This window comes from Homo sapiens, chromosome 15 (assembly GCF_000001405.40).
Source record: "Homo sapiens chromosome 15, GRCh38.p14 Primary Assembly".
In the NCBI taxonomy this organism is placed as follows: Eukaryota; Metazoa; Chordata; class Mammalia; order Primates; family Hominidae; genus Homo; species Homo sapiens.
Window position 1 is genome coordinate 83961468 of NC_000015.10, and position 22773 is coordinate 83984240.

General features: G+C 42.3%; 1 protein-coding gene across 12 annotated transcripts in view, besides 1 other annotated feature; it reads left to right on the top strand.

Moving 5' to 3' along the window:
• ADAMTSL3 (ADAMTS like 3) overlaps positions 1-22773 on the top strand; it is a 385720-nt gene that overhangs the window by 307345 nt on the left and 55602 nt on the right. For 10 of the 12 annotated variants that reach the window (XM_011521823.3, XM_017022434.2, XM_011521822.3 and 7 more), the window contains 2 exons: positions 9017-9170; positions 20806-21877. In XM_011521823.3, coding sequence (XP_011520125.1) covers positions 9017-9170; positions 20806-21877 — 1226 coding nt within the window. Of the gene's footprint in view, positions 1-105; positions 335-9016; positions 9171-20805; positions 21878-22773 lie in introns of those variants that run through there. The other 2 variants (XM_047432888.1, XM_047432889.1) reach the window with 1 other exon arrangement.
• Positions 22256-22445: a silencer, noted in NCBI's record as "silent region_6764". NCBI's record gives its function as "represses an Ori minimal core promoter by ATAC-STARR-seq in GM12878 lymphoblastoid cells {active_cell/tissue: GM12878}" and the evidence as "EXISTENCE:reporter gene assay evidence [ECO:0000049][PMID:35858748]".

Consider the following 22773-nt stretch of genomic DNA (forward strand, 5'->3'; position numbering starts at 1 on the left):
GCATGCGCCACTAAGCCTGTGTAAGATGCTGAACCTCGTGGATAAAGCAAAACCCCCTTTGAACAGAAAGTCAACCAAATAAACTAAAAATTCTCATCTTCATAGGAGCATTCAATGCAAGAGGACAATGGAGCAGGATCTACACAATTCTAAAGAAAAGCAAGCATGACTCAAGGATTTCCTCTTCATCCTGTGTTCTTCATGTAGAGAGACAGCAGAGAGGCAGTCAGAGAATACTGTCTGATAAGCCCTTGAAAAAGCTGTAGGGCCAAGATGAGATACAGAGATGACTCAAAACAGAGAATCCAGGAATGCATAGATCCTGGTAAAAAAGGTGGGAGATGAGTAATAAATTCATTTGTGTAGGATTAAGACTAATCAACTAACAATTATATTATAGAACATAACATAAATATCAGAAATCTTGACATTATCTAAATAATAAAATGAAAACTAATTGAGATTTGGAGAGATGAGGTAGATGATATAGTTTGGCTGTGTCCCCACCCAAATCTCATCTTGAATTGTAGTTCCCATAATTCCCATGTGTTGTGGGAGGGACTCAGTTGGAGATAATTGAATCATGGGGGCAGTTTCCCTCATACTGTTCTCGTGGTGGTAAATGAGTCTCACGAGATCTGATGGTTTTATAAGGGGTTTCCCTTTTCGCTTGGCTCTCATTCTCTCTTGCCTGCTGCCATGTAAGACGTCCCTTTGCCCTTCCTTTGTCTTCTGCCATGATTGTGAGGCTTCCCTAGCCACGTGGAACTGAGTCTATTAAACCTCTTTCCTTTATAACTTACCCAGTCTTGGGTATGTCTTTATTAACAACATAAGATTGGACTAATACAGTAGAGGAAATGTAAGTGTGCTTATTTCCTCATCCTTCTTAGTAGCAAGTCAATAAATACTCTCCTAAGTCAAATTGTCATTAAAAATAACTATCCAAATCTCTTGTTGGTTTATTTAATCTTCTTTATTAACTTTAGAGTGTTCTTTCGGGAATTAATCATGGTTTAAAAAATATCAAACATTCAACAACTCTAATTTTACTTTAATGTCTTTTTTTCTAATATATCTAATAAAATTGCATTAAATTTTTAAGTTGAAATTGCATGTATACACACTGATTATTACTATTCATGTTACTCTATATATGGCAGTTTGGGTGATTTTTTAAAAACTTTCCTTTTTATACATTTGTATTTCTTGGATACTTGGTAATGAGTATCATAAAATCAAAATCAGCCATGGCTGGCAAGATGGCCAAATAGGAACAGCTCTGGTCTGCAGCTCCCAGTGAGATCAACACAGAAGGCAGGTGATTTCTGTATGTCCAACAGAGGTACTGGCTCATCTCATTGGGACTGGTTAGACAGAGGGTGCAGCCCATGGAGGGCCAGCTGAAGCATGGTGGGGTGTCTCCTTACCTGGGAAGTGCAAGAGGTCAGGGAACTCCCTCCCCTAGCCAAGGGAAGCCGTGAGGGACTGTGCTGTGAGGAATGGTGCAATCTAGCCCAGGTACTACACTTTTCCCATGGTCTTTACAACCCACAAACCAGGAGATTCCCCCGGGTGCCTACACCACCAGGGCCCATGGGTTTCAAGCACGAAACTGGACAGCCATTTGGGCAGACATCAAGCTAGCTGCAGGAGGTTTTTTTCATACCTCAGTGGTGCCTGTAACACCAGTGAGACAGAACCGTTCACTTCCCTGGAAAGGGGGCTGAAGCCAGGCCTAGCTCAGCAGATCCCACCCCCACAGAGCCCAGCAAGCTAAGATCTACTGGCTTGAAATTCTCGCTGCCAGTACAGCAGTGCGAAGTTGACCTGGGATGCTCCAGCTTGGTGGGGGAAGGGGCGTCCACCATTACTGAGGCTTGAGTAGGCAGCTTACCCCTCACAGTGTAAACAAAGCCTCTGGGAAGTTCAAACTGGGTGGAGCCCACCACAGCTTGGCAAAGCCACTGTAGCCAGACTGCTTCTCTAGATTCCTCCCTTCTGGCAGGGCATCTCTGAAAGCAAGGCAGCAGCCACAGTCAGGGTCTTATAGATAAAACTCCCATCTCCCTGGGACAGAGTACCTGGGGGAAGGGGCAGCTGTGGGTGCAGCTTCAGCAGACTTAAATGTTCCTGCCTGCTGGCTCTGAAGAGAGCAGCAGATCTCCCAGCACAGTGCTCAAGCTCTGCTAAGGGATAGACTGTCTCCTCAAGTGGGTCCCTGACCCCTGCACCTCCTGATGGGGAGACACCTCTCAGTAGGGGCTGACAGACACTTCATACAGGAGAGTTCTGGCTGGCATCTGGCAGGTGCCCCTCTGGGATGAAGCTTCCAGAGGAAGGAACAGGCAGCAATCTTTGCTGTTCTGCAGCATCTGCTGGTGATACTCAGGCAAACCAGGCCTGGAGTGGACATCCAGCAAACTCCAGCAGACCTGCAGCAGAGGAGCCTGACTATTAGAAGGAAAATTAACAAACAGAGAGGAATAACATCAACATCAACAAAAAGGATGTCCACACAGAAACCCCGGAAACCCCACTTGAAGGTCATCAAAAGACCATCAAAGACCAGAGGTAGATAAATTCACAAAGATGTGGAAAAACCAGCACAAAAAGGCTGAAAATTCCAAAAACCAGAACACCTCTTCACCTGCAAAGTGTCACAACTCCTTGCCAGCAAGGGAACAAAACTGGACAGAGAAGGAATTTGACAAATTGACAGAAGTAGGCTTCAGAAGGTCAGTAATAACAAACTCCTCCAAGTTAAAGGAGCATGTTCTAACCCAATGCAAGGAAGCTAAGAACCTTGAAAAAGGGTTAGAGGAATTGCTAACTAGAATAACCAGTTTAGAGAAGAACAAAAATGACCTAATGGAGCTGAAAAAAACAGCACGAGAACTTCATGAAGCATACACAAGTATCAATAGCCAAATTGCTCAAGCAGAACAAGGATATCAGAGATTGAAGATGAACTTAATGAAATAAGCATGAAGAGAAGATTAGAGAAAAAAGAATGAAAAGGAAAAAACAAAGCCTCCAAGAAATATGGGACTATGTGGAAAGACCAAACCTACGTTTGTTTGGTGTACCTGAAAGTGAGGGGAGAATGGAACCAAGTTGGAAAACACTCTTCAGGATATTATCAAGGAGAACTTCTCCAACATAGCAAGAAAGGCCAACATTCAAATTCAGGAAATACAGAGAATACCACAAAGATACTCCTCTAGAAGAACAACCCCAAGACACATAATCGTCAGATTTACCATGATTGAAATGAAGGAAAAAATGTTAAGGGCAGCCAGAGAGAAAGATTGGGTTACCCACAAAGGGAAGCCCATCAGACTAACAGTGGATCTCTCTGCAGAAACCCTACAAGCCAGAATAGAATGGGGCCAATATTCAACATTCTTAAAGAAAAGAATTTTCAACCCAGAATTTCATATCCAGCCAACCTAAGCTTCATAAGCGAAGGAGAAATAAAATCCTTTACAGGCAAGCAAATGCTGAGAGATTTTGTCACCACCAGGCCTGCCTTACAAGAGCTCCTGAAGGAAGCACTAAACATGGAAAGGAACAACCGGTACCAGCCACTGCAAAAACATACCAAATTGTAAAGACTGTCAACACTATGAAGAAACTGCATCAACTAACAGTCAAAATAACCAGCTAGCATCATCATGACAGGATTAAATTCACACATAACAATGTTAACATTAAATGTAAATGGGCTAAATGCCCCAATTAAAAGACAGAGACTGGCAAATTGGATCAAGAGTTAAGACCCATAGGTGTGCTGTATTCAGGAGACCCATCTCATGTGCAAAGACACACATAAGCTCAAAATAAAGGGATGGAGGAATATTTACCAAGCAAATGGAAAGCAAAAAAAAAAAAAAAAAAAGCAGGGGTTGCAGTCCTAGTCTCTGATAAAACAGACTTTAAACCAACAAAGATCAAAAAATACAAAGAAGGGTATTACATAATGGTAAAGAGATCAATGCAACAAGAAGAGCTAACTGTCCTAAATATACATGCACCCAATACAGGAGCACCCAGATTCATAAAGCAAGTTCTTAGAGACCTACAAAGAGACTTGGACTCCCACACAATAATAGTGGGAGACTTTAACACCCTACTGTCAACATTAGACAGATCAACAGACAGAAAATTAACAAGGATATTCAGGACTTGAACTCAGCTCTGGACCAAGTGGACCTAATAGACGTCTACAGAACTCTCCACCCCAAATCAACAGAATATACATTCTTCTCAGCACCATATCACACTTATTCTGAAATTGACCACATACTTGGAAGTAAAACACTCCTCAGCAAATACAAAAGAGTGGAAATTTTAACAAACAGTCTCTCAGACCACAGTGCAGTCAAATTAGAACTCACGATTAAGACACTCACTCAAAACTGCACAACTACATGGAAACTGAAGAACCTGCTCCTGAATGACTACTGGGTGAATAACAAAATTAAGGCAGAAATAAATACGTTATTTGAAACCAATAAGAACAAAGACACAATGTACCAGAATCTCTGGGACACAGCTAAAGCAGTGTTTAGAGAGAAATTTATAGCACTAAATGGCCATAGGAGAAAGCAGAAAAGTCTAAAATTGACACCCTAACATCACAATTAAAAGAACTAGAGAAGCAAGAGCAAACAAATTCAAAAGCTAGCAGAAGACAAGAAATAACTAAGATCAGAGCAGAACTGAGAGAGATAGAGACATGAAAAACTCTTCAAAAATATCAATGAATCCCAGAGCTGGTATTTTGAAAAGATTCGCAAAATACATAGACAGCTAGCCAGACTAATAAAGAAGAAAAGAGGACACAATCAAATAGACACAATAAAAAATGATAAAATCACCATTGATCCCACAGAAATACAAACTATCATCAGAGAATACTATAAACACCTCTACGCAAATAAGCTAGAAAATTTAGAAGAAATGGATAAATTCCTGGACACATACACCCTCCCAAGACTAAACCAGGAAGAAGTCAAATTCCTGAATAGACCAATAACAAGTTCTGAAATTGAGACAGTAATTAATAGCCTACCAACCACAAAAAGCCCAGGATCAGACAGATTCACAGCTGAATTCCACCAGAGGTACAAAGAGGAGCTTGGTACCATTCCTTCTGAAACTATTCCAAACAATAGAAAAAGAAGGACTCCTCCCTAACTCATTTTATGAGGACAGCATCATCCTGATACCAAAACCTGGCAGAAACACAACAAAAAAAAAGAAAATTTCAGGCCAATATCCCTGATGAACATCAATGCGAAAATCTTCAATAAAATATTGGCAAACTGAATCCAGCAGCACATCAAAAAGATTATCCACCACGATCAAGTCAGCTTCCTCCCTGGGATGCAAGGCTGGTTCAACATACGAAAATCAATAAACATAATCCATCACATAAACAGAACCAATTACAAAAACCACATGATTATCTCAATAGATGCAGAAAAGGCCTTTGATAAAATTCAACACCCCTTCATGCTAAAAACTCTCAATAAACTAGGTATTGATGAAATGTATCTCAAAATAATAAGAGCTATTTATGACAAACCCACAGCCAATATACTGAATGGGCAAAAGCTGGAAGCATTCCCTTTGAAAACTGGCACAGGACAAGGATGCCCTCTCTCACCACTCTTATTTAACATAGTATTGGAAATTCTGGCCAGGGCAACCAGGCAAGAGAAAGTAATAAATGGTATTCAAATAGGAAGAGAGGAAGTCAAATTGTCTCTGTTTGCAGATGACATAATTATATATTTAGAAAACCCCATCATCTTAGCCCAAAATCTCCTTATGCTGATAAGCAACTTCAGCAAAGTCTCAGGATACAAAATCAATGTGCAAAAATCACAAGCATTCCTATACAACAATAATAGACAAACAGAAAGTCAAATCATGAGTGAGCTCCCATTCACAATTGCTACAAAGAGAATAAAGTACCTAGGAATACAGCTTACAAGGATGTGAAGGACCTCTTCAAGGAGAACTACATACAAACCACTGCTCAAGGAAATAAGAGAGGACACAAACAAATGGAAAAACATTCCATGTTCATGGATATGAAGAATCAATATTGTGAAAATGGCCATACTGCTGAAAGTAATTTATAGATTCAATGGTATCTCCATCAAGCTACCTTTGACTTTCTTCACAGAATTAGAAAAAAGTACTTTAAATTTCATATGGAACCAAAAAAGAGCCTGTATAGCCAAGAAAATCCTAAGCAAAAAGAACAAAGCTGGAGGCATCATGCTACCTGACTTCAAACTATACTACAAGGCTACAGAAACCAAAACAGTATGGTACTGGTACCAAAACAGATATATAGACCAATGGAACAGAACAGAGGCCTCAGAAATCATGCCACACATCTACAACCATCTGATCTTTGACAAACATGACAGAAACAAGCAATGGGGAAAAGATTCCCTATTTAATAAATGGTATTGGGATAACTGGCTATCCATATGCGGAAAACTGAAACTGGACCCCTTCCTTACACCTTATACAAAAATTAACTCAAGATGTATTAAAGACTTAAACATAAGACCTAAAACCATAAAAACCCTATAAGAAAAACTAGGCAGTGCCATTCAGGACATAGACATGGGCAAAGACTTCATGACTAAAATACCAAAAACAATGGCAACAAAAGCCAAAATTGACAAATGGGATCTAATTAAACTGAAGAGCTTCTGCACAGCAAAAGAAACTATCATCAGACTAACAGGCAACCTACAGAATGGGAGAAAAATTTTGCAATCTATCCATCTGTCAAAGGGCTAATATCCAGAATCTACAAGGAACTTAAACAAATTTACAAGAAAAAACCCCATCAAAAAGTGGGTGAAGGATATGAACAGATACTTCTCCAAAGGAGACATTTATGCGGCCAACAAACATATGGAAAAAAGCTCATTAGAGAAATGCAAATCAAAACCACAATGAGATACCATCTCACACCAGTTAGAATGGCGATCATTAAGAAGCCAGGAAACAACAGATGCTGGAGAGGATATGGAGAAATAGGAATGCTTTTACACTGTTGGTGGGAGTGTAAATTAGTTCAACCATTGTGGAAGTCAGTGTGGCAATTCCTCAAGGATCTAGAATCAGAAATACCATTTGATCCAGCAATCCCATAACTGGGTATATACCCAAAGGATTGGAAATCATTCTACTATGACACATGCACACATATGTTTATTGCAACACTGTTCACAATAGCAAAGACTTGGAACCAACCCAAATGCCCATCAATAATAGACTGGATAAAGAAAATGTGGAACACCATGGAGTACTATGCAGCCACAAAAAAGGATGAGTTCATGTCCTTTGTCGGGACATGGATGGAACTGGAGACCATCATTCTCAGCAAACTAACACAGGAACAGAAAACCAAACACTGCACGTTCTCACTCTTAAGTGGGAGTTGAACAATGAGAACACATGGACGCAGGAAGGGGAACATCACACACTGGGGCCTGTCAGGGGGTGGGGGGCTAGGGAAGGGATAGCATTAGAAGAAATACCTAATGTAGATGACGGGTTGATGGGTGCAGCAAACCACCATGGCACATGTGGACCTGTATAACAAACCTGCACATTCTACACATGTATCCCAGAACTTAAAGTATAATAATTTTAAAAAGGCCGGCCGTGGCTTCTCACGCCTATAATCCCAGCACTTTGGGAGGCCGAGGCAGGTGGATCACGAGGTCAGGAGTTTGAGACCAGCCTGGCCAAGATGATAAAACCCCATCTCTACTAAAAATACAAAAAGTAGCAGGGTGCAGTGGTGGGCGCCTGAAATCCCAGCTACTTGGGAGGCTGAGGCAGGAGAATCGCTTGAATCTGAGAGGCAGAGATTCCAGTGAGCTGAGATCATGCCACTGCACTCTATCTAGCCTGGGTGACAGAGCAAGAATCCATCTCAAAAAACAAACAAACAAACAATGGACATGCCCATAGGCAGATGAATGGATAAAGAAAATATGGTACTGTATATACATACAATGAAATATTTTACAGCCTTAAAAATGTAGGAAACTCTGCCATTTGTTGCAAGATGGATGAACCTAGAGGACATTATGCTAAGTGAAATAAGCCAGTTAGGGAAAAACAAATGTTGCATGATTCCATTACATAAGGTATCTAAAATTGTCAAACTCATAGAAGCATAGAATACAATAGTGGTTTCCCCATACTGGGGGAATGGGGAAAATGGGGAGTTGTTAAATGGTTATAAAGTTTCAATTATACTAGCTGAATAAGTTCTAGAGATCTGCGGAAAAACATAGTGCCTATAGGCACAGTTAACAATAGATAGTGTGCAATTCAAAATTTATTAAGAAGGTAGATCTTATGTGAAGTGTTCTAGTCATAAATAAACAAAACAAAACAAACAGGCAACAAAAAACAAAAGGGAACTTCGGAAAGTGTTGGATATGTCTGTTACTCCGATTGTGGTAATGGTGTCATATGGTGTTTGCATTAAGCCCAAACCCATCACATTGTACACATTAGACATGTGTAGTTCTTTGTATATCAATTATACCTCAACAAAACTATTAAAAGGGTCAAATTTTAAAAATGAAAATAAAAAATGAATGGCTAAAAAATAAATTAGATATTAATTGCAATGCCAAAAAAATCCCACGATAATAAATTACTGGAAATTACTATCTCCAAAAGAAAGAGTGAGATGGAAGGAGGGGGAGGGCGGTAGAGAGGACATGACTGAAGGAAAAAGAGAAAGAAAGAAAGGAAGAGAAGGGAGGGGAGGGAAGGGGAGGAGAGGAGGAAGAAACTCTCCATGACATAAAAGATGTTCAAGCCTAGGAAATGGCTTTCTTCTTGGCACATCCGTACTGAAAATTTCCTCTTGTTTCACCCTTGGAGACTTTGCTGTTGTTGGCTGGGTCTGCCTGCTCATGCTCCATTTGACTCTGTTGCACAACTCTCATTTCAGTGTTCTGTCAGTTGTGGTGTTGGAATCCAGAGAAGAAAGCAGGTGTGTCAAAGGCTGGCAGCCAAAGGTCGGCGCATCCCCCTCAGTGAGATGATGTGCAGGGATCTACCAGGGCTCCCTCTTGTAAGATCTTGCCAGATGCCTGAGTGCAGTAGTAAGTATGCGGTGTCCGCGCTTCACCAAGATATGCTGATTCTGTTCATTTTGTCCCGATGTCTTTATTTTCCATACGTCAACAGATTTCTAATCTGTGGGTAAGGCAACTCAAGCTGTACTCAGTGTTGTTTTCGGCAGCGATCAGTAGAACGTGGAAGACCAAGATATAGTTCTAAGAAAAGTCTGTTTTAAGAAATGTCCGCCCACTTAACAAATGCATCTTTTAGGCTTCCTCATTTGGATTTATGTCCTCTACTTTACCATAATTCCTTCTGCTTAGAGTTCAGGAGTGTTCCATGTAGAAGTTAAGCCAAAATACCTCCTGGTTCACTTTGCTAGGATTGCATTTGGACTTAATTAAAAGTAGAAGAGCTACGTATTTTTAAGCATTCAAGTATTTTTTCTTGTGTATAATCTAAAATTGGCAAGGATAAAAACATGAAAGAACTTTGATTTAAAAATGGCAGTTTGTACACCTCAATTAATTATGAATAATGAGCTTACTATAAAGAGTTCATATTATGGCTTCATTATAGCCAAAGCTAATATGCATGTAGCATTCATCTGTATTTTCAGTGTACATGATAGAATATATTTTTACACATGAATATGTATGTTTCATATAAGAGTTATGTGGGCCAGGCGCAGTGGCTCACGCCTGTAATCCTAGCACTTTGAGAGACTGAGGTGGGTGGATCATGAGGTCAGGAGATCAAGACCATCCTGGCTAACATGGTTAAACCCCGTCTCTACTAAAAATACAAAAAATTAGCCGGGCTTGGTGGCACACTCCTGTAGTCCCAGCTACTCGAGAGGCTGAGGCAGGAGAATCACTTGAACCTGGGAGGCGGAGGTTGCAGTGAGTCGAGATCGCACCATTGCACTCCAGCCTGGGCGACAGAGTGTGAGACTCTGTCTCAAAAAAAAAAAAAAAAAAAGAAAGAAAGAAAAAAAGAGTTGTGTGTTAAAACATGTAAGCCGAGGGCGGCCATGACAGCCATGACAGCAATTGAAAAGCAGGCAGCAGAGTGGTGGTGAGGAGGTTGGGAAGGGAGGTAGGGAACAGGCATAGTGGAAATAACAGCTTTGGAGTTCATTTACCACTTTTTCACTATCTTTAATTACTCACCTGTGAAATAACATTTATTATATCAGTTACCCTCCTGAACGTTTGGTAAGGAAAAAAATTAAAAATGAACTATTCTTATTTTAATGCTGCTTAGGAGAGGAAAACATATATATATATATGTCTTTTATATATATGTTTTATATATATGTTATATATATATGATATATAACATATATATAAAACTTCAATTTACCAACACCTTTCCTGGAGAAACTCACAAAACAAAATAAGACAAATAATTAAGTTTTTTTTAAGTAGTGACATTTATTGAGCAATTACTATGTGGAGTTCTTTGCATGCATTATCTCATTTAGTCCCCTGAACAACATTGTGAGGCAGATACTATCTCCATCTGGAGATGAGAAACCCAAGCCATAGAAAAGGCATGAGACTTGCCTAAGGCTCCCTGGCTGCCAGCTGAACTGCTTGACCACAAGTCTGTCTGATTCTTTAGCCCACGTTTTTAGCTGCCTCTCTATGCTGATTCATGGACAACATTAACATTTTTTTCCTGAGGAACACATTTCCAAAATCTTGAGTCCAAAAACTTGAGATTCCAAGTTGTAAAGTCTCCTGGAATTCAGGAGTGTCTGTAGCATATGGCGTACTATCATGCTTCGTTCAAGTTGCCTCTCTATCTGATTTTTATTAATTGCGGATGGTTGCATAGCAGTGTGGCTAGACTGTAAAAACTGCCTTAGAGGAGAGTGAAATTAAAGTGATACTGGCAGCTTCCTCTAAAATAATAACAGAATAGCATGTGGAAATACAACGTGGTTATTATGGCATCCAATGTGGTACAAGATGAAATTATAAATTATTTTGGCATGCATTGAGGAGCAGAGAAAATTACAAGTTGTAGGGAGAAAGAAAAAACACAAGAAAAAAAGACAGTAATATTTTTTCTTTACTCCACCCCACTCCTGCCTGCCAAACATGTAGGTCATGAAGGTAGACAAGAGACAGGAATGCATGCTCCCAGCACAGCCAACGCACCCTGAGTTGGGCCCCCACTTCAGCTGTAGCCTCGCCTCACTCCATAATCTTTGATCACTAGCCCTTGCTTGCTGAAATGTAGGTTCTGCTTCTACACTTTCACATAGCATCCTCTTCACCACCATATGACAGAGCAAGAGATGAGGTTGGCATTCTCTTATCCTCTCTACACCGTTTCCCTGCTGTCTTCACACACTTAGCACGTAGATTGCCCCGTCTCATACCTTCAAAGGCACCATGTGCAGACCCTACAAGACACTCTTCACCCTTCTTCAGGACACACCACCACCAGGACCATGATTTCTCTCCAACGTTTCCTAACATCCAAGACAACCAATATCTGTGATGATGACCTTTCTAACACCTGATATCCCAATTTCCCAACCTCATCAATTCCACTGACCCCATCACCTTGGCATGGTAACCCCTTAGACTTCCTCACTACTTGGCACTCAGAATTAGCTTCTTGTTCTGCCTTACCCTCAACTCACTCCTGCTTATTTAGTTAGTGCCTCACCATGACCTCTGGTTCTTCCATATCTCCTTATTATCCCCAGTTTCTGCTCTTGCACTAGAAACCTTAGCCGGCATTCCTTAGGTCTCCACTTAACCAACTCTATCGCCAAATCTTTATACCTTTCATTAACCTCCTGTACTGACCCCTGCTCAGCTTCAACCCTGGTATTACCTTTCAAGTGATTTGTTTGTTGGTGGGTTGGTTCCCTAGCCTGAGCCACCAGGATTTCCTAAAGAAAATAATATCACCGTGCTAATTTGATATGTTTCATATTTATGCTATTTTAGAGGGGCAATAATGGCTTTGTGCCCTATTTTCTAAGAATGCCCTAGAAATTCACCATAGCAACTATTTCCTAACTACTGTACTGACCCATTTCTCTATCAATGAACTTGTCTTTCATTCCATTAGGAATATCAAGGCTAAAGTGGCATAATGTCGTGATTTTCCTCTCTGTTTCACCTCAAATCTACCCCCTCTCCTCCTCAGATTAGAAATGTATGATCTACTCCATCCATTATGGAAGGGGGTCCGTAGACAAGAAAATCAGGCCCAGTAGTGCTGTGAACTTTATTTTCTACCAAGGTTTCAATTCTAGAAAATGTGGCCTAATCGGTGCCTTGGGTTTAAGTAAAACCCATCCTCTTTGGAGGGGTAATTTTTCTTGGCTCTGACCCTTTTGGTGTGCAGCAGGTCCAAGTCAGGTGGGAAAGATGTCTTCTGCTCCCCCTAGAGGCCAACAGCATACCCTATAGTCCAATGACACCCACCGCCTGCTTCTCCCCAAACAATCCCTGCACAGTCCCCTTGTTCAAATTCTTTCTGTCCCCATAGCTAGTGACTGAAGTTCTTCCTGCTCCTGAAGGGTCAACACAAACCCTACCTTCCCCAGTAAGCTTTCTCAGTCGCACTTAATGTCTGAAGGATAATATGACATTGTGGTTGAGCTAACTCACCTGAGTTCAAATCCTAGTTCTTCCAGTACCTCATCATGTGACACTGAGCAAGTTATTTAACCTATGTGGGTCTCAGTTTTCTCATCTGTAAAATGAGAATAGTCTTTATACCTACCTCACGGGACCATTCTGAGAATCATGAATTAATACCTATAAAGTGCTTCGAATCAATGCCAGGCACACACTAAAAGCTCAAAAATATTGATTATTTTTAAGGTCTTTTTATCTCATTTCTATTATAGATTTAACACAGGATAAAATGTAATAAGTAAGTTGTGTTGTATATTCTGGCCTATTAGGGTATGAGCTTGTATGGGGTAGGTACACAGCACCTCTGGATATTCTGTTTTGTCTTTTTCTATATAATCCCCCAACATGTTTATCAGAATGAATTGTATTCATGGACATTCTTTTTAAATATGTTAGATGTGGTTCATTCTCAAAGTGCTGTTAGAAATCTACCTATCTTGGTTTCCAATCAGGCATCTGTAGAAAAGAAGGATAACAGAAATATGTAGTGTTTGATTTTAGATTTTTTAAATTATGACTTTTAGGGTTCCTGAGCTTTGGTAAAGAAGAATTTTTATTTTTCCCCAAAGTACTGAGATCAGGATGGATTAGGGAAGAGGAACCCAGGCATGCCCTATTTTATTGAAATGTCAAGAAAAATATGCCTCAGCCCCTTCCCAGGGCTATCTCAAATCTACTCTCATCTCTCCCGCCTGTGGTCTCTCTCCTTGTACTGGCACACAGCCTGCGTCTTTTTTTTTTTTTTTTTTTTTTTGAGACGGAGTCTCGCTCTCGCCTAGGCTGGAGTGCAGTGGCGCGATCTCAGCTCACTGCAAGCTCTGCCTCCCGGGTTCACGCCATTCTCCTGCCTCAGCCTCCTGAGTAGCTGGGACTACAGGCACCTGCTACCATGCCCGGCTAATTTTTTTGTATTTTTAGTAGAGACGGGGTTTCACCATGTTAGCCAGGATGGTCTTGATCTCCTGACCTTGTGATCCACCCACCTTGGCCTCCCAAAGTGCTGGGATTACAGGCGTGAGCCACTGCACCTGGCCAGCCTGCGTCTTTAGTTCTCCAGCCTCCTACACACCTCTTGGACTTTACCATTAGAATATGGTCTCCCCTGCTCTAACTCCTCCTCTAGCTTTGCTAGTTCTGGCTGCTTCCAGTAACACCCATCCCTGCTTGTCATAGCTACAGTCGTAGAGACCCAGCCAGGCAGAGGCCTACCTCACCAGCACCCTCTTGGGCTGGCGGCACTTCCTGCAGGGTCCCAGGACGTACGTGTTACTTTTTCTTTTACTCATTCATTGCCTTAATTCATTCAACAAACAGAAGGCAGTGGTCAGTGACACTGGGTGGTTAGAGGTCAGGAAGAAATTCACAGAGGAGGAACTCTTGAGCAGACTTCTGAATGACATGTCTGTTCATCGGGCCCACATGTGGGTAGATACAGAAGAATGTGAGGAAGGAGAGCAGTGTGGATAAAAGTAGGGGGTGTCAAATGGAGTGGTAAGTTTGGGGGAACTTCAGCAGATTCCATAGGACTAGAACATAGGTTCAAGAGAGAGCTTGCAAAGTTAGCTATAGAGACTCTTGAACTCCATGTGAAGGAGTTAAAATTGTATCCAAGAAGGAAGTGACTTGGTCAGGTTTTATTTTAGTTCATTTACTCTAAGAGCTATATAGATATATTGGGGAAATATGAGAGTATGGCTGGGAGTCTAGTGAAGGGGATATGACAATATCTTGGTGAGAGAGCATGAGAGTAGAAGCAATGGGGATGAATTCTAATGATGTTTCACATGTGTCCTCTAAATTCCCGATGCCTGATGAGAGTTGGGAGCTATAGGACAGAGACGGTGGTGGGTTTGTGAATATTGAACAGCTGGCTTCGGTAGTAGGGTGGTGAGTGGGGAGAGGTAGCTATCATTTGTTGTGGTCGCCTATTTCCATAGTGTAAATACTCCCATTGTAGCTGTTTTCCAGCTACCAATGTGATGTCATTGAATGCAGAGTTGGGAATAGTTGCTAGCAGTCTCATTGACTTGTGTTTCAGGGAGAGGCAGGGCCAGCACACCACTGGACAGGAGGAAATCTAGATCAGTGGTCTACAGCCATTTTGGCACCAGGGACCAGTTTCATGGAAGACAGTTTTTCCACGGACCAGTCGTAGGGGATGGTTTTGGGATGATTCTAGCACATTAAATGTATTGTGTACTTTCTTTATATTATTATTACATTGTAATGTGTAATGGAATAGTTATATAACTCACCATGATGTAGAATCAGTGAGAGTCCTGAGCTTGTTTTCCTGCAACTAGATGGTCCCATCCGGGGTTGATGAGAGACAGAGACACATCATTAGGCATTAGATTCTCATAAGGAGCCCGCAACCTAGATCCCTCACGTGCACAGTTCACAGTAGGGTTTGTGTTCCTATGAGAATCTAATGCCACCACTCATCTGACAGGAGGCGGAGTTCAGGCAGTAATGGCAGTGATGGGGAACGGCTGTAAATACAGATGAAGCTTCGCTCACTGGCCTTACTCACCTCCTGCTGTGAGGCCTGATTCCTAACAGGGGGTTCGGTGGTTGGGGACCCATGATCTAGATGATTCCCTGGTTTCTGGCTTGAGTAAATTGGCAGAAGTTGACGCCATTAACTTGGGGAATATAAGAAGAGGAGAATAATTGGGATGGGATAGGGTAGGGGGCATATAACATGTTGAGATCAGGGGTCCCCAACCCCCAAGCCATGGACGGATACTGGTCCATAGCCTGTTGGGAACTGAGCTGCACAATAGGAGGTGAGCGGGAGGCAAGCAGGCATTACCACCTGAGCTCTGCCTTCTGTCAGATCAGCAGCGGCATTAGCTTCTCATGGGAACACAAACCCTATTGTGAACTGCGCATGCGAGGGATCTAGGTTGCAGCTCCTTATGAAAATCTAATGCCTGATGATCTGAGGTGGAACAGTTTCATCCCAAAACCATCTAGCCCCCAATCCCCACCCCGACAACTGGTTTGTGGAAAAACTGTTTTCTATGAAACCAGTACCTGGTGCCAGAAAGGTTGGGGACTGCTGGTTTAGATTATGATCATTTAAACTTGAGGGACCTGGAAGAGATTTCCAGTAAGAAGTGGATAATTAGGTCTGAAGTTCCAGAAAGAGATCTAGGCTAGACAGATAAACTTGAAGGCATTAACCTAGAGTTGTTAGTTAAAACTACAAAATCATCCAAGGAAAAGCATAGAGCAAGAGAGATAGTGGCTGTGCATTGGCACCTGAGGGGTAGAAACAGCCAGCTGGGTACTGGCAATGGTGGTCAGAAAGGACCAGAAAAAAAAAGGTAAAAAAAAAATCTTGGGGAGGAGAGACTTCTTCATGAAGTGAGTGATTAAAGTTACCACATGCCCTAAGACGGTCAAGTAAGAATACTGAAGAGAAGGCACTGAATTTGTCACTAGGGGGCCCTTGGTTGTCTCTTCCAAGTAACATTTAATGTGGTGTTGGGAGCAGAAGCCAGACTGAAATTGGTGGAAGAGTAACACAGAAGCAACCTGAATTTACTGTAGCCGGGCCTCCATGGGCCTCAGGGGCCTCCACTGCTCATTTCAGAATCCACCCACAGCATCCCTGGTGGCCTCCTCTCAGCCCACTGTGTTCAGAGAAGCCTGAAGAGAATCCAAAGTATCTGCCCAGGTTCTTGGTACAGCTTCAAATGAGCTTCTCAGATCTTTACTCCTATTGGGAGGAGTGGAAACCAGCACCAGCCCAGCAGCCATATTCAGGGCTGGTTCCTGAGAGGCCAGGGTTCCAGCAGGGTAATAGGAAGGTATTGATGCTGTGTCATGGCCAGAGCAAATGCTGCCAAGACCATGCAGAAATATCCAGCCAGATGGCTTGGGGTAGAAACCTGGCCTGGCACCAGGACTTGAAGCCATGCCAGGGATATGACTGGAGTAAAGGCAGGACCCAGTAAGCAAGGAGCTGAGGTCATTGCCATAGATGGCCTTGGGCACCCAGAACTGGCCTTGACTGGGTGTGGCAGACTGCACAAAGACCCAGAGAGAGGAGTTACAGAAGAAAGCTCATTTCATTTTCTAGAATGTGGCATTTCTCACATTTAGCACAGTGGGAGAGGTGGAGGGATGGGTTAATGCTCTTGCACAGCCCAGCAGCCCCTTCAGGAGGGTGCTGCAGTTGGTACCTGGCCACTGTCTGCAGAGTGCATGATGCCCCTGCCTAATCAGGCTTGGCCAGTGTTGCTGTTTTGGGGCATCTCCAGATGAGAGAGGAAGGTCACCCCAAACCAGACCGGTTTCTTGCCCAAGAACTATGTTTGATGATGCCACGTTCCAGGCATTGCTCTCAAGGAACTCACAGGAGCCCCAAGAAAGGAAGTGGCTCAAACTGTGGAACCTGGCAGCCTGGCAGAGCCCATGAATTCCGATCTCTGGCTGGAATCCCCGTTTACTCCCCAGGCACACCTGCCAGTCAAAATGCCCCATACCCCAGTGTGAGCAATGGCCAAAGCAGAGTTGGGAAAGGGACCATCTGGGGCCACAAGGCCTGCCTTCCAGTAAATGGGCATGCAGCCACAGGGAGCAGCTGGGCTTCTTCTGTGTTCACCCCACCATTTGGGCAGGCTCTTCACCAAGGCTATGCCCTGCCCACCACCTGAGGCTTCATGGCCTCCCTTAGAAGGAGTCAGAATCCCATCAACTTTAAGCCCCAAGCTCAGCTGAGGGACATGTGGTACCAGTGGAAATGAGCATCACTGGAACCCACTTTCCTGCTGGTCCCAGGGCACCAGGATGCTTTGTGGGTTTCATGTTAGAATCAGGTCATCCCCAGCTTGAGCTGTTTAGCCAGACGTTTCCCCATGTGTGCTTCCGCACCATCCCAGTGAGAGCAAGAACATTCAAGCTTCCACCCGATCTGTAGCAGCCACTGCTACCTTGAAACAATCGATCTCCACATATTCCTTAGTTGTATTAATTCAAAAGTTTGACTGAACACAGTTTATGCTCTGCTTGCAAAGAAGTGAGTTACAAAACCATCCATGTGCACATCCATCTTTTATATTGTCCACCACTGAAAGGCCCATAGCCAGACAGTGTCCACCTGGATCTTTTTAAATAAAAATGATACTTACACGGGTAGGCATACCTTGCCTTGTTACAATAGGCTACTTCTAAGTATTCATAACATGCAATCCAATTAGTAAAAATAGAAGCAGGTGAGTAATAAAAAAAGGAGAACAAACAACGTTAATATGTGATTGTGTCTTGAATTTTATATTCCTTTTACATGTAGGCACTAATTTGGCTCCAAACTTGCTTTAACAGCCATCTTGAAAAAGGCAACCTTGCCAATTGCAGTTTAGGAATTCATTAGATAGGAAATGAGCTAATTACTCAGAGTAAAGTATAATGATTTCTGATGCTAAAACCAGAAAGAAATCCTCCCATGATCCTCTTGCAGAAGACACTGGATATTGTGAAGACTAGAATGTGCTCATAGACAACACAGATGCTGCTTCCTATTTTCCCTTCCCTCTTGACCAGCAGCTTCCTGTCAAATTGTCTTTCAGTGAAAGAAACTGGGTCAGGAATGCCTTTCTCTAGTGCTTTGGCTTAATTCATGGTACATGCTGGGGTAATGGTCCTCGAACTTTGCTGCACATTTCAGTCAACTGGGGAACTTTAAAAAATTCTGATGTCCTGGCTGCACCCCGTAAGTCAGAATTTCTGGGGATGGGACCCAGGATACTGAGATTAGTGAATACTAACAATAACAGGTGATTCTAACAAATAGCAAAATTTGAGAGCCATTTTTTTTAGAGCATCTGTGGTCAGAGTTGATATTGAACCTGCACATACCAGTATGGACATGGTCAGAAATATGGTCAGAAAAAAAAGAATTAGTAAACAGCCTCTGCTGGAACCCCATGAGCATTTCTCACCTGCTCAGGCCACTCTGCCAGTAACCGCCTGACTTGTCCATAATCGAACAACTATGGGGTTAACACTTCGTACCATAGTAGGCCTCCAAGACCCTATTCCAGTGCTATGGCCAGACACATTCTGTTGATTGAGCCCTTGCTGTGAAGATTTAGTATTTTGAACACCATCTATATTATCTATAGTAATGGATTGACTATAAATTTACCAGGGAGTCTTCCATACATGTTTTTCAGCTTTTGATTGTTGAACAGTAGAAAGTTCAAAATTGTATTCTAGCCAAATTAGGGGAAATTTACATGGCTTAACTGGCTGGGCCATTTGACATACTTTGTAGATACTCTGTCTCCCAAAAAGTAAAAGTATGTATGTGGCAGTTCATCCAGCTCCACTTAGAGATGATGTGACAGAGCATTTTCAAGCAGAACCCTGGACCCATCCTGAGATCAATAGGCCTGACCTACCAATTGCATCTGTATGGAATTTGTATACAAACAAATTATGTATGTCCTTCACTGAGAACATTCTCTACCACAGAAATTATGGGTTCACCTCCATTGTTTCCCTGAACCTGTTGACACCACGAAACCCCAGTAGGCAGCCAGACTTCAAAGGGCTCATGAGGCGTGCAAGAGGACTTCAGTTATTCTCAGTTCTCAGGGTACCAGTAAACACACTGTAGCCAGCGCCAAGGGCCTGAGAAGGCTATGAAAGAGAAGTCTCAATCTGCTTCTTCTCCCAGCGTGTGCTACAACAAGGAGGACCTGTAACTGGGGTCCCCCAAGGTAAATTAGGTCCCCATTGCATGACCTTCTAAATCCAGAGGTATTCTTGATGTTAGTCCAGTATCTCTTCTGCCACTCACTAGTGCTTCCAAGCCATCCATCCTACACTCCACAATCTGCTCAGGAACCTAAATACATCATCAAAGAGGATCCAGACTTCCACCCATATCACTGTCCTTCTCCCATGCCTACCTCAGAATCACCCCAGAACACATTGAGCCTTCTCTCAGGTGAAACAAGGGAGAGAAATACTTCTCTTGGGGACAGGATCTGAGAAGTATTGTCTTTGGGCCTAGCCCATTAAGAGGAGCCGATCGATGCCCAGGAACAAGTCAAAGCCAACCCCATCTCTGTTCCCTCTTAGTCTTCCCTGCTGTGCATTGGCTGCACCTGCCCTTGTCACCAGATCAGTGGTGGCAGCAGTTATATATGAGAGCTCATTATGTGCCCGCTACTGTGCTGTGCACTTGATATAAACAATCTGACTTAATTTTTACTTCCCTCCCATTGAAAGCACTAACATTATTCACATTTCACAGGTGAGGAAACTGAGGCTCAGAGAGATGAAAGAATTTGTCCAAGTGGCAGAGCTAAGATTCAAACTCAGGTTTATCTGACTTCAAACTGCCTATGCCACCTGTTCTTTTTTGATCACGGCTACCCATTGCTTCTTCAGACCCCCATGCCAATTTAATCGACATATTTGGGTTATATTCTGCAGCTGGCCAACCTCAGCCTCCTTTCAGACCCTTCAAATACATTTGCTCACATTCCCACTCTCACTTCCTCCCTCAGATTTGGGGTACCCATGGCTCTAAGCCAGAGGGCCTCTCTGCCAGATAGTAGAGACCTGACATATCAGACCCTTATTGATGGAAACATGTACCCAGAGGCTGGGTATTTATGGAGCCATTATATGAGCATGGCCTAGAACAAATATTCCTCAAATCTAGAAATAACTATTCCCTACATTTCACCAAATCATTTAACCTCATGCCTCCCCAAACCAGGGTTTTATCAAATCACTTACACATTTTCATGCACCTCATTCACACTTGCATTCTTTGCCACTAAAGTACTAGATAGTTGTGAAATTTACCCCAATCTGTGGATGTATAATGTTATTCATGGTTTTATTCTTGAATGTTTTAAAATAGTAAAAAAGATACGTTTGTTAGCCTGTATCAGCCTTGAAAGATTACTGTCAAAAAGTCTGTATTTTTGAGATGTTTATTCGTATTTTCTTTTCTTTCTTTTTTTTTTTCTTGGAGAAATCAAATCAGAGATGAAGACAAAACTTGGTGAGCAGGGTCCGCAGATCCTCAGTGTCCAGAGAGTCTACATTCAGACAAGGGAAGAGAAGCGTATTAACCTGACCATTGGTAGCAGAGCCTATTTGCTGCCCAACACATCCGTGATTATTAAGTGCCCCGTGCGACGATTCCAGAAATCTCTGATCCAGTGGGAGAAGGATGGCCGTTGCCTGCAGAACTCCAAACGGCTTGGCATCACCAAGTCAGGCTCACTAAAAATCCATGGTCTTGCTGCCCCCGACATCGGCGTGTACCGGTGCATTGCAGGCTCTGCACAGGAAACAGTTGTGCTCAAGCTCATTGGTACTGACAACCGGCTCATCGCACGCCCAGCCCTCAGGGAGCCTATGAGGGAATATCCTGGGATGGACCACAGCGAAGCCAATAGTTTGGGAGTCACATGGCACAAAATGAGGCAAATGTGGAATAACAAAAATGACCTTTATCTGGATGATGACCACATTAGTAACCAGCCTTTCTTGAGAGCTCTGTTAGGCCACTGCAGCAATTCTGCAGGAAGCACCAACTCCTGGGAGTTGAAGAATAAGCAGTTTGAAGCAGCAGTTAAACAAGGAGCATATAGCATGGATACAGCCCAGTTTGATGAGCTGATAAGAAACATGAGTCAGCTCATGGAAACCGGAGAGGTCAGCGATGATCTTGCGTCCCAGCTGATATATCAGCTGGTGGCCGAATTAGCCAAGGCACAGCCAACACACATGCAGTGGCGGGGCATCCAGGAAGAGACACCTCCTGCTGCTCAGCTCAGAGGGGAAACAGGGAGTGTGTCCCAAAGCTCGCATGCAAAAAACTCAGGCAAGCTGACATTCAAGCCGAAAGGACCTGTTCTCATGAGGCAAAGCCAACCTCCCTCAATTTCATTTAATAAAACAATAAATTCCAGGATTGGAAATACAGTATACATTACAAAAAGGACAGAGGTCATCAATATACTGTGTGACCTTATTACCCCCAGTGAGGCCACATATACATGGACCAAGGATGGAACCTTGTTACAGCCCTCAGTAAAGTAAGTAAAATAAAAATGCAGTATTCATTTTTGCACTACCTTCTTAATGGCTATTCCAGTTTTCTTGAAAATATTTTCAAATTCCTCTCCTAAGCATGTGTTTCCAACAGGATTCTTTAGGAAAGAAACTAAAAAATGTTAAGATGTGTTTTTCACATATACGTTGGAATTTTTAAATTCAACCGCCATATCATCCCAATCACTGTCGTAGAGGTGTGATATGACTGGATCCAGCAAGAATAAGTTTAAGCATATATACACTCCCCCTTTACTCAGCACTTGGCATTTAAAAATAAAATCAATATAAGGCCATTTTAAAAGTAAGCTTATTAATAGTAATCCTACATTATGTTGGAACTGCAAATCAGAATTTACAGAGCTCTTCCATGTCTAGGAGATGTGGTATCTTATTTGAGCTCACATCAGCCCCATGAGATTGGCAGGGCAGGGGTTAACCTTTCTGATGAGGTAATTGAGAAGCAGAATCCCATGACTACTTCATGGCCAATCAGAACCAAGGGCCGTATCTCTTGAATACCCACCAGTGGTATTTGAGTATCACACAAATACGTAGCCTTGTCAAAAGCTTGGGTATCTGAAGTAGTTTTCTATTATCATGCAATTTTTAAATGTCATACAATCCAAAAATAAGAATCATAGTGTTTTGAGATGTTCAAAACACAGTATTAAGTCACATATTATTCTGATCTCTATGCCAGTGTAAAAATGTCACATTTCCTTTATTTTACATAACAGATACTAATTTACTTTTGCATTCTTTATTGCCTTCAAATCTTGCTGTTTGTATACAAAGTACTATAGACATTGTGCCTTCTTTTGATTCACATGTAAGAGCTCCAGCTCTACCTTATCTGCCTTTAGAGATCGTTAAGAGA